We start from the raw sequence: 13,545 nt of genomic DNA on the forward strand, positions 1-13,545 counted from the left end.
CCTCTAGGGAAGCCCAGATGTTAACAACTTAAAGGCTGGTTTTTTGTAAACATTTACATTAACAACCATTACCTATTAAGAGTGAAATATCTGCTCCATTTAATAAAAATAGCAATATTGAACTGCTTTACATTATAAACATTGTTATTTTAACGACATGTTCCTGAACTGGCTAAGTCCGTAACAAAAACAATGAACACGCTGAAATGAGAAGAGTATTTTGACTTGAGAAATATTAAAGGTGTTACAAGTTCGACAAATGAAATTAACAAACATGTTTGTAATTTTCTTTTTTTCCTACAAGTGTATTTTATAAGACATACTGGTGTGAAAATTATTTGATCTCTGACAAAGCTAAAATTAAAATATTCTCCAATCAATGAGATGAAAATACTATGACTTCCAGTGTAATTTATCTACTTAGTATGTGTATAAAATGAAGCTTATTTAAAAATATCATGTTACTTATCACTGTATATTGGCTCACCCTTAAAAAAGGGAATCAAACTATTTCCTAGTACTTTTTAGAACATGTATATGTTTACAAGATAGGCATTACATTCTCTATACAGCTAGCATAGCACCAAAATCTGCACAGCTTAGAGTGAATAGTGTCAATAACCAGAATTTGGGCTGCCTAAATGGTCCCTGTGAGCTGCCGACACCAGTCAAATCCACTGACAATTGCCAGCTCTAGGACTATTTTCAATTGTGTTTACTTTGGATGCAGGATTAGCTTCAGTTTTCCAGTCAGGAGCTCCCCTTTCTTCCACAGGCTACCTCTTACTAAAACTCACTTTTCTCATAGCTTGAGAGTGTTTAAAACAGGAATCTCATTTAGGTGTGGTAGGAAAAGAGACCTGATCAGTGAGACACAGAGAAGAAAAAGAAAGGCATTTGAGTTTTATTATATGAAAATATAACTGGAGAAATTAATTAATCATCTTCTAGCACAGTGTTAATCCAATGCTATAGATATCATATATCTTTAGCTCAATTAAACAGTCATTTATTGACAACCTATGTGCCCTCATTTGCCATTTATGTGCTAAGAACCATGCTAGGATTACCAAAAAAAGGTAAAATACAAGTTTAATTCTCAAGAAAATGATAATCCAGTGAAAAGACAAGTAATGTGTCCCAAAAAACTTGGTTTTGCATGATATTGGTATGTTAGCCAGAAAAATGGTGATGAGACTCAAATAAGCTTGAGAAGCATTTAGTAGGCTTTTCCTGAGCCTTTAATATGCCCAGTGTCTTGTGAATCTGCAAGGAGGAATTTCTTCACCATGAAACACCTTTTTCACAGTATGAATAAACACCTCATTGGAAGAGTATTCCCTAGAGTGCCAGATTAGAAAATATTTTTATATACACATAAATGTTATATATAGCTAGAATCCCAAACCATTTCCATAAAGGAATCATTTTGTTCCCATACTATGAACAGATTCCTGAGGGGGATGGTAGAAGGGAAGAACTATGGTAGGAGGGACACTGAGAAAGGGAAAAAATGATTCCTTCCCCAGAAGCAAGCCCAATAGTGACCTATTTTCCCAAGTAGGGGAAAGGATATAGTACTCATGGCTTGAATGCCCTGACTGAACAAGGAAACCCTAAATATTCATTGATACCAGGTGGAGATCCCAAATGTATAGTGCATACATTCCTAAATGCTTTCAGTTTCCAAAAAGTTTATATTCTCTAAGAAATTGACTTTTATTTTAAAAACAGCAACAACAACAAAACCCATTAGGGCAGGAGAAGTTCGTTATGTGAGGAAAATCATTGTTTTAGTGAAAGGAAGTTGCTATCTCCTGCTGTCTCTCCTTTCTACTGGCTCACAGAATGACAGGGCAAACGGAGCAGAAGTGTATGAGAGGTCCGTACCATCCCCTCTGGTTCTGAAGGATTCCTTTTACTCAAGAGAGGTTAACTCTGGGGAGGTAAAAACTTGTTCTATTTCATTCTCATAAGAATCATTTGATACTCGTTTTCTGCAAGCAGCATGGTGACTCTCTTGTTGCTTGACTGTTTTTAATTTGTCATGGGGAGGGGGAGTTTTAGAAAAGAAGGTACTTACCAGTCATGGCAAGCTCCAGTTTTCTCTTCAAAATTCAGTGAGAAAAGATATTCAGCTGATCCTCCATTTCTCCTTCTCCATCTGATCCCCAAATCCAAACATGTCTCATTTTTCATATGTATTACCTATTCCTTTGCTTTTTCCCCAGGTCTGCTTCAAAGTATCCTTTTAGGAGCTCAAGACCAGCCTGACCAACATAGTGAAACCCCGTCTCTACTAAAAATACAAAAATTAGCCAGGTGTGGTGGCACGTGCACGTAATCCCAGCTACTCAGGAGGCTGAGGCAGGAGAATCGCTTGTACCTGGGAGGCAGAGGTTGCAGTGAGCTGAAATCGTGCCACTGCGCTCCAGCCTGGGCGACAGAGCTAGACTCCGTCTCAAAAAATAAAATAAATAAAAATAAAATAAAATACAGCCGAAGAATGTAAATTTCAGCAGAATGGCAAATGTGGGTTAAAGACTTAATGTTTTCTTAGGTTACTTACTGCAAGAACTGCCCTGTCCCGTTCCACCAAGTCTGCAAGCTTATCCAACAGACGTCCCCTTTCTGAAGCATCCATCCTTCTCCACACTGAACCAAGAGAGAAAGCCAGGCGGGCTGCCTGCACTGCTTTGTCTATATCTGCCTGTTAGAGAGGAAGAGGCACAACTGAAGAAAAACACTCCAAATAAAGGAAGAACCATCCACTGTCATGAAAAAAGTGAAGCATGAGCATGTAGTGGTGTACTGAGAGCATATGTTTGCTGCTCTGCTGTTTGAAGGCAGTTATTTCATAGGAAATCTTTTATCTACAAAAGACATACCTTGTCTGCTTCTTGAACTTCACACACCTGTTCTCCTGTGGCTGGATTATAGACAGGGAACACTCTCCCACTCTCTGAGTTCTGCCACTCGTTGTTTATAAAGATCTAAGGGAGTAGATAACAGAATGGGATCTGTGACACAGGTGATAAGCAGCCAGTCAACGGCCAAGTGTTACGGAACTACTATGGTAATAACACTTGTTGTATAATAAAAGTATACAATTTGAAGTGTTTTAAGAGACCCTTCTAGACTCAACGCCAATTTAGGAATTTCCTCTATATTTTTGCTTTAACATCATCCAAAGGCTAACTACAGTTCTTACCTTTCATGAACCTGTCAACTAACTAAAGATACAAATAAGGATAGAGTGTCTCACATACATACAATCATACACTGATGCTAAGGCAAGAGTTATCGATAGCCCAAGCTCTGGCTAGTATCCATGAGGGTTAAATAGCAGATCAAACTTACAGTCATCAAGCCTTAGATCCTACTTTCTCTGCCACAGGCCTAAGTGACTTCTCAAGGAAACTTGAATGGTGCTGCAATAAGCATTCACCTAATTTATACTCAGGTCCTGAACAATGACTCTAACCAAACTAACTAGTTAGTTCAACAAGTTATATGTGTAAATCCAAGTTAGATTTATTTCCCTTTGCTGAATAGGCTATCTTGCAGAGCCAAAAAAGATGGGGATGGGGAGTTAGCAAGTGGGGTGTAATTTTCAAATGATCACCCCAGGATTTCTTAAAAGGCTTGGTCTCCCTATGTATGAAATTGAGATTAAAATGGCAAAGAGACTGAAGATTTGGGAAATTATTCAAGTCAATTTCTCACAAGATTTGTAATAAATGAGTTAAAGGACAAGGGAAAAGAAAAGGCCAGAAAAATTTTAAATTCTTATTGAGTGAGAAACCTAAACTAATATTTTTAGACCATGTAATCTTAGAGGACATACGAAGATGTTTTACTCTATAAAATTTACAGCACCACAGTGAAATTTCTGAACTTATGAACCAGTCAGTCATCTAATTTAGGACAAAAACAATGATAATTATTTAGTGCCTGCCATTTAAAAAATAATCAGAGATGAGGCTTAATAAATATAAATCTACACTTGGTAAATATCAAATTCTAGAAAATGTCCCAAAGCTTTCCTTTTACATGTTTTCCTTGATTTGATAAAAACTATGAGCCCATGTAGAAGGAGGCACTGATTAAACTATAACTTTCTTTTCCCAAAGGATTTTTAAGATAAAGGAAAATACCTTAAATTTGTAGAGCACTTAACACAGCTGTATTGATACAAACAAAATGACCTTGTAATTGTACATTTTACAGTTTATAATACACAGTTCATAAACACATGTAACAAAATTTACCCAATAAATACTCAGATAACTTCTAGTCACAGGAAAAATAAAGATGGTTAAGAGAGTTCCAGCCCTCCAGAGTCTGACAGTCTCTAGTAGTTTATTTAGTACTTACAATAACCCCGTGAAGCAGGGTTTTCTCTCTATTACACATGAGAAAATTGAGAGGCAGGGAGCTTGAGTCCAAAGAAGCAGGTTCTTGTTGTGGCTGACTCAACAATGTGTTCTTTCCAATACACATAATTTCCAGGATTAGTCAGCCCAAAGAAACAGAACTAGTTAATGTCCAAGCCTGAGCTAGTTAGAATTCTTAAATTATTGGTCTGGTTCTCTTTTCATTCACTCTATTTAATAAATTTGCTCACAGCTGATAGCTCATTACATTTTCATGCTCCTTTGAACACAGTATAAAGTCCAGGTAACAAAAGGAGAAAATTAAAAAGTTAGTTTCATTAAGGATCCACTTCTTGGGTATTATCAGGTTTAGGGAAAAAGTGGTCTTACCCATGTCCCTATCCTTTTATTCACCATGTGACTGAATCAAACTTTTTAACCTTTGCAGTATCACCAAGGCCCACTGATCCTAATTTTTTTTTTTTTTTTTTTTTAAGACAGAGCCTTGATCTGTCACCCAGGCTAGAGTGCAGTGGCACTCAATCTCAGCTCAATGCAACCTCTGCCGCCCGGGGTTCAAGTGATTCTGCTGCCTCAGCCTCCCGAGTAGCAGGGATTACAGGCACCCACCACCATGCCCAGCTAATTTTTGTATTTTTAGTAGAGACGGGGTTTCACCTTGTTGGCCAGGCTGGTCATGAACCCCTGACCTCAGGTGATCTGCCTGCCTCCCAAAGTGCTGGGATTACAGGCGTGAGCCACTGCACCCGGCCCCAAGTTCAGTTTTTAGGTTTCTCTGTGCAGCAGTTTTAATTATTTGTAAAGACTGATATTTCATGACTTTTGTTTCTTACAGGTTTTCCAAAAATCAAAAGGAAAAAATACTTATTTTTAGTAAGTTAAACTCATTTTCTTCATCACTTAGTCTATTGATCATTTTATAAATCTAAGATGCATTATAGGATCTAAGATACATTATGATATTTTAGTGATCTTATATTTCCTGTATTTTAAAGTATTTTGCTACTTCATCATGCTAGAAATTACTTCATCATCACTCATCAATTATTTCTAATTGTGCTAAAAAACTAAAATAAGGAAAAAAAAATTACGAAATTGCCTAGAAATGAATGTCACCACTGTATCATCCTTCCGTTTTCTAATTGTGTTGTGTAATACATCTTTCAAAAAGTTATAAAAGAAGTCTAGAGATGCCATCTTTGCCATATTCTTTTCAGCTTCCATTAAACAAAGTTAAGAATTTGGAATTCTTAATTTTCTGCCCATAATGGGATAAAGAATAAAATTAAGAGAAAGATATTTCACAATAATTAGATGAATGAGAAAATGAAGGCAGAGACAGAGCACTTGAGATTCTAATGATGAGGTAAAACTGACCATAGAAGCAAAATCTTGGGCTATGAGTCCTTCAGATAAATTCTGTCAGACTTGAGAATCAGAGTAAACAATATATTTACAAAGACAAAAAGGAAACATGATATTCTAACCCATTAATTATTTAATAGGAAGGACTTCATCATTTAGTATTTTGCACAAGAACCTGGACCATCCTGCTCTGATAAAAGGACATATGACAATTATTTTATCTTTTATAGTATTTGTTGATAAAATTTACTTGATATTCATAAATGGACAAATGCTGAAGGTAGGTATATATGTAAAGGTGACTGGAACAGACAGACATTATGTAGAAATTTTAAAAGTTCATTGGGTTGCTCAATCTGATTGACATTTATAAAAGTAAAAATGAAAATATTTTTGTAATTGTGAAACAAAAACATGGCCACCTTCTTTTCTACAAAATCATGAACCCTCAAATTTCTCCATAGCATTACACTGTGATAATAATGCATATGCAGGAAGAACCAGAGATAATGATGAGCTATAACCTACTAGAGATCTGTTTAAAATCTGGAGCCAGTATTTACGAGATGATAATGTTCTAGGTTCATATACGACAGCTCATGACCAGTTATTTGCATTCAAAGGCATTGCCAATTTCAGGTTACATTACCTCCAAAATCAGGAAAATATGAAATAAAAACGTGGTTTGCTATGTTTAAATTCTTATTTTGCTGTTTTTTTTACCATCTCTTTATTCTTACTTCTGTAAATTATTCATAAAAATAAAAATAAAAATAAAATGAATACATTGAAACCAGATGGTAAATGTGATGGCTATTTTTCCTGGTGTGCCAAAATTAAAATTTTAATTTTACTACATTATTATTTTTGTAGACCTAGTCTTATAAAATGACACTTAAAAAATTATATGGACAACTTTGTTGGTACATGGAATAACAAATATCTTCATGGTCAGTACTTGAATGTTTGCAGCTCTCTAGGCAATGTCGAAAGTTTTGAATCCTGTCCATAGCATTATTCCCTGACCAGGGCTCCTTGGAGAAATGGTTTATTTCAGAACTGTATCAGGGAAAGTACAAGATGAGCCTGGAACATTGTGGTGCCTGAAATCAAGTAAATACTTAAAAATGGATAGGAAGATAATAAAAAGATACAGAAGTCACCATGAAGAGGCTACCAATGGACAATACTGGAATAATTTAAACAAAAAATAAATAATGCTGGTAATAGATTATGACCCATAGAATGAAAAAGACATCCAAAAGTTCATAATGATATACATTTTTAAATGAATAAATAAATAAATGTGGGATAAGGAGGCGCTCTTCTTCACAGTAGAATTCCAACTACTAGATGTGAAGAGATGATGGGATTAGATGATTATTATTTGTAAAATACCATAGTAATAACTGCTTCAGGTAAAAATCATCACTAGATAGTAAAATTGGTGGGCAAATATGCAATGAAAAATGTATGATGTATATTCATGTAGTTTCAAAATATCTCCCCTCAAGATACTTAATTACAAAAGAAAAAATAGTAACTTTATGTTGGAGAAACTTGGCAGACACCACCTTAATCAAATGATTAAAGCTGATGTCACCAGCAATGGGACAAATTGATATCATGTGCAGCTGATATGATATGCTGAGAAAGACAAGATCAGTTCTGTGGTAATCTTACCCAAAAGGCATAACCTAAATTCAAACATGAGGATACAACAGGCAAATCCAAACTAAAGCATATTCCACAAAATAATTGTCCTATACTTACTTAAAGTGCCAAGGTCATGAGAGGCTAGTAAAATGAAAACAACTGTTCCAAATTAAAGGTCACTAATAAGACATAAAAATTAAATGCATCATGTAACCATGGATTCTCTGATGGGCCAGGAAAAAAAATACATATTATTGGGACAATTGGTGAAATTTGAATAAGATTTTTAGGTTAGATGATAATATTTTGTCAATGTTAATTTCCTGATTTTTATAACTTTTATAATTGTAAGATCATTTGGGGAATCTGCATGAAGTGTACACAGAAATTTTTGCACTATTTTTGAACTTTATTTTTGTAAATCTGAAATTATTTCAAAATGGAAAGCAAAAAAAAAAGTTTAAAAGTCAGTGTCATCTTTCAGTGCCTACCTTTCATATTTTAAATGCCCCAAACAAATTTGTTAAACGAAGAAACGAGGATTCAACATCTTCACAAGAGTTTCTTTAAATGTGACTTTGTGGAAAATAAAATAAGCCACTCAAGCTCTGTCTTGAAACATGGCCCAATGATGCCAAATCATTTTAAGTTAAAGCCATGTTAATCTCAGTATAAGAAACCAGAATATTTTGCTTTGTAGTTTACTGAATTTCAGAATTAGTATGAGGAAAAATGTGGGCTTTACTACAGAGGTCTTTGAAAGTAGAAAGTGTATCTGACCCTAAGTTACTGGACTGTTGCTCAGTTTCTTCATTTGGAAAATATAGAAATGCTGACTTACTAAAATCATGTAATTCTGTGATGCTGTAACCGAAGGTAAAAAGAACAGATGGTCCATAAAAGAAGGCACCTATCTAATCTAGGTTTCTCAGAGGTTGGAGGGATTAGTTCATATCCCTTTCTTTCCATTGTGGTTGTGAAGGACTAACTGTCCACTGACATATTATAGGTTGTTGTTGGTTTTAAAAAGACAGAATGATAGGCACTTAGCTAACATTAACCAAAATGGAATGTCTGCTGAGAGAGGAAATGAATCACTTTCTTTTTTATTATTATTTTTTAAATGTTATTTAAGTTCTGGGATACATGTGCAGGACATGCAGGTTTGTTATGCATGTAAACATGTGCCACGGTGGTTTGCTGCACCTATCATCACATCACCTAGGTTTAAGCCCCCCATGCATTAGCTTTTTTATCCTGATGCTCTCCCTCCGCCCACCCCCTCCAACAGGCCCCAGCATGTGTTATTCCCTTCCTTGAATCCAAGTGTTCTCATTGTGCAACTCCCACTTATAAGTGAGAACATGTGGTGTTTGGTTTTCTGTTCCTGTGTTAGTTTGCTGAGGATAATGGCTTCCAGCTCCATCCAAGTACCTGTAAAGGATATGATCTCATTCCTTTGTATGGCTGCATAGTATTCCACGGTGTATATGTACCACATTTTCTTTATCCATTGATGGGTATTTGGGTTGATTCCACACCTTTGCTATTGTGAATAGTGCTGCAATGAACATACGTGTGCATGTATCTTTATAATATGATTTATATTCCTTTGGGTGTATACCCAGTAATGGGATTGCTAGGTCAAATGGTATTGACATGAATCACTTTCTAACATCTTTCCTGATATGGTCAGAAATACAGTACCTCCCACACCAAGAACAAATCTGAAACACACTGAAGAACGAGGAGAATATGTGAGGAACAAAATTTTCTTATATTTAATAGATGTGGTAAAAACATATGTAATATAAATGCAAGCTAAGATCTACCATATTAAAATATACCATGAACACATCATTCAAGCACTGGAACATTATTAGTATTACTGAAGCTACCTGTGTGTTTCTTCCTAATCCCGTCCTCCAGCTTGACCCACCCTGCCACTAGAGGTAACCACTAACCTGTATTTTTAATTTATTTATTCTTAGATATTTTCTTTCATTTTCTTGATCAAATGTAGTATTTATTTGATGCAGGTTTCTGTGTTTATTGTATCAATTTTGTAAAATGCATTAGGATCATCTTGATTGTCATTAACGTTTTATGTTTGTACTATGATCACTGAGAAAGCCATGCTGAAATTTCCCATGGTGGTGGATTTATCAACATATTCCTTAACTCTAAATTTCTACCTTTATAATTTTCGGGGTATTTTATTAGTGAATATAAGTTCATAACCATTAGATCTCTCTGGTAAACCATTTATCAATATGAAGTGATGCTCTTTATTACTAATAAAGCTTCCAATTTTAGAGCCTATTTTGTTTAATAGTAGCATAGCTACCCAAGCCTTTCTCCAGTATTTGTCTCATTTATCTTTTCCTGTCTTTCTGCTCTCAACTATATCTTTATTATTTTGATGTGTCTCTGTAAGTGACATATGGTTAGATTTTATTTAATATGAAAATCTGCATTTTAACTAGCAAGTTTAATATATTTCTATTAACTTTTTGAGTTGGGGAGGGTTCACTAGAAGCAGTTTATATGACTGACTCCTCCACTTAGAAAAACCAGAACAGTATATAGACAGTCACACTTCAAATATATTATCCAAGAGAACACCGGAATTCAACAAAGAAGGGACAGGAAGCACCAAAAGTAAGAAAAGAGGTTGCCTCTTGCATCCTCCCTGACTGGGATCAGCTGGGAGCCAGGAGTGATTTCCCAAAGTGGGAAATGGGTGAGTGGGAGACTTCCAGCAGCCAACATCCCCACCGTGGAATTGTGCAATTCTGGCCACTTGAAAAGCCCTCAATCCTCCCAAGCCCCGAAACTAACACAGGGAGCTGCCAAGAGACCATGAAATGGAACTGCTCCTAGGAGAGAACTTAACACTGGGCCCCACATCCTTTCTGAGACCTAAGCAGCTACAGCAAGGCATCATTTCCAAACCTAGCCTTTGACAAACGTCGTGCTGTCCTGGGGCCCAGCAGTTCCAGGACTGAGGCATTAAGGAAACTCAGGCTATTACTGCTGGGACAGCAGGGCAAGCTGGGAGTGCTCCTGTAGCCAAGGCTAAGAAGCCAGTGAGACATGAGCTGAAGCACCCAGTGCTGGTAGACATGTGTTGCTGAGATCTAAGATGGAGACACAAGTTGCTGCTGGAATTGGTGGTGAGCTGGGCAGGGGTTGCTGCAGCTGGTGCAGGCGGATGAGTTAGGTGCAGGCTACCGCCACCAGGGTAGGGGATCAAGCCTCACTAAAACTGGGGCATGAAAGAGGCACAATTCCCCACCTGCCGGTCCAGGCTGTGGCCACTGATGATGGCCAAATCCTCTCCAGTGGCAGGGCCTCAATGCAGCTGCTACTGCCCCTCACTCAAGCACTCTGCCTAGGGCCTAAGAATTGCCCTGCCCCTGCCCATCACAGCTAGTGCCTCCTCTCACCACTGTGGGGGCTGAACAAAAGCCCATCTGGCCTCACTTTGTTCCCCATTCCCGAGACAGAGCACATAGATTGAGGTCCTGGAGATTGCCCAACCCAATCTACCACCTTGGGTACCTGAACATTCCGTACAGGGTACTGAGGTTGGGCCTAACTTCCCAGCCACTACCACATAAGCTGAAATCTACCTGCAAGTGCAACCTCGGGCCTGGAGACTTGCCTGTCCAGCACATCACAGCCACTCCCAATATCCATGCACACTACTCAGGATGCAGAGGATCATCCTACTACTGCTACTGCCATTGCCATGCCATACAAGCTGCCTAGGGACCTGAGAACACATCCAACCACCTGGTCCACTGCTGCCACTACCTCCGGGGGGAAAGCCACCTCAAGGCCAAGAATCAGCCTGCTCCAACACAGGTGCCAGGGTATTCCACACTGAGGCACAAAGACAGGCACACTCAACCCACCACTGCAACCACTAGGGCCTAAAGACTGGCCTACCTGGCATCCCAGTCCTCAGCACAACTTCACCACAGCCTCTGCTAATAACCACACTATAACTTACCAAGGAAATCACAGATATCACTGATGTTGTTTACTGCCAAAGAAATCATATAGAGACTACACCACTGCATCCACCCAGAATCAAAGCCAAAATGCCCCATCCAACCAACACCATATATACACCTTCAGGAAAAATTCCTCCCCTATGAAAGTAAATTCAAAAATAGGAAGAACCAACTGTTATACCAGATGTGCAGATATCAACATAAGGACAACATGAAAAAGCGAAGAAATATGACACCTCCAAAGGAACACCATACTCCATCAACAGATCTTAATCAGAAAATTTCAAAATCCCAGATAAAGAATTCAAAATATTGACTTTCAAGAATCTTAGTGAGATACAAGTGAATTCTGAACATAAAAAATCAGAAAAATAATTCAGGAAATAAATGAGAAACTTACCAAAGAGATAAATTTTTTTTTAAAGAAACAAATAGAAATCTGGAACAGAATAATTCATTGAAGGGAAAAAAATGCATTTAAAATCTTAGAACCAGGCAAAATAATTTCTAATCTTCAAGACAGGTCTTTTGAAATAATCCAGTAAAACAAAACAAAGAACAGAGAATTTAAAGAATATAAGCAAAGCCTTTGTGACACTTGGGACAATTTTAAAGTGACCAAATTTACAAATTATTAGTATAATCAAGAAACAAGAAACAAAGATGAAAACTTGCCAAGCCTAGCAATATTTAACACATGCAGATACAGGATGCTTAATGATTCTCAGGCAGATACAATATGAAAAGGTTTTCTACATAGCATATTGTTATCAGACTGTCTGAAGTCAATGATAAAGAGAAAATCCTAACAACAGCAACAGAAAAGCATCTAGTCACCTATAAAGGAAACCCCATCAAACTAACAGCAGATTTCTCAGCAGAAACCTTACAGGCCAGAAGAGAATGAGATGGTATATTCAAAGTGCTGGGAAAAAAAAAAAAGGAACTGCCAACCCAGAATATTATCTCTAGCAAAATTATCCTTCACAAATGAGGGCGAAATAGACTGATTCCCAGATAAGCAAAGACTGAAGGAATTCATTACCACTAGGACTGACCCTACAAGAAATGCTCAAAATAGGGCTGGGCAGGGTGGTGCATGCTTGTAATCCCAGCATTTTGGGAGGCCGAGGTGGGTGGAGCACCTGAGGTTGGGAGCTCAAGACCAGCCTGACCAAATCATGGAGAAACCTCCTCTCCACTGAAAATACAAAATTAGCCAGGCGTGGTGGCACATGCCTGTAATCTCAGCTACTGGGAAGGCTGAGGCAGGAGAATCGCTTGAACCTGGGAGGTGGAGGTTGCAGTGAGCTGAGATTGCACCATTGCACTCCAGCCTGGGCAACAAAAGCAAAATTCCATCTCAAAAAAAATGCTCAAAATATTAACTCTGAAATATGGAAGTATAAAACTCATTTGTAAAGTAATCACACAAAGGAGGAAGAGAAAAGACTCAAATGGTACCACTACAGGAATCCAAACTACAGTGTAAACAATAAGAAAAAAAAAGAGGCAAAGAATATATAAAACAACCAGAAAAGAGATATAATGGCTGAATGGATTTTTAAAAAATGATCCAATTTTATACTGCCTAGAAGAAACTCACTTTACCAGTAAAGACAAATGTAGACTGAAAGTTAAGAGATGAAAAAAAGTGAAAAAAGATATTCCACTCACATGGAAACCAAATGTGAGCAGGAGTAGCTGTATTTATATCAGATAAAAACAGATTTTAAGCCAAGAAGTTCATTATATAATATGAGGGAATCAATTCAACAAGAGAATATAAAATCTAAATATATATGTATCAAACACTGGAGCACCCAGATTCATAGAGCAAATATTACTAGATCTAAATAGACAGACTACAATACAATAGTGGGGGACTTCAACACCCTCACTGTCAGCACTAGACAGATCATCTAGGCAGAAAATCAACCAAAAAGCACTGGATTTAAACTAGACTTTACACCAAATAGACCTAACATTCTATCCAACTACTGCAGACTATACATCCTTTTCATCAGCACATGCAATATTCTCCAGAACAGACCATATGTTGGACCACAAAATAAATCTCAGCAATTTTTAAAAAATCATATCAA

The 13,545-nt window shown here is 37.2% G+C and overlaps 1 protein-coding gene across 4 annotated transcripts in view; it reads right to left on the minus strand.

Moving 5' to 3' along the window:
- The window catches only part of ALDH1A2 (aldehyde dehydrogenase 1 family member A2), a 112,283-nt gene that overhangs the window by 57,860 nt on the left and 40,878 nt on the right, over nt 1-13,545 (minus strand). For 3 of the 4 annotated variants that reach the window (NM_170696.3, NM_003888.4, NM_001206897.2), the window contains 2 exons: nt 2,889-2,993; nt 2,570-2,710 (listed from right to left, as the gene is read on the minus strand). In NM_170696.3, coding sequence (NP_733797.1) covers nt 2,570-2,710; nt 2,889-2,993 — 246 coding nt within the window. Of the gene's footprint in view, nt 1-2,569; nt 2,736-2,888; nt 2,994-13,545 lie in introns of those variants that run through there. The other variant, NM_170697.3, reaches the window with a different exon arrangement.

This window comes from Homo sapiens, chromosome 15 (assembly GCF_000001405.40).
Source record: "Homo sapiens chromosome 15, GRCh38.p14 Primary Assembly".
NCBI classification, from domain to species: domain Eukaryota; kingdom Metazoa; phylum Chordata; class Mammalia; order Primates; family Hominidae; genus Homo; species Homo sapiens.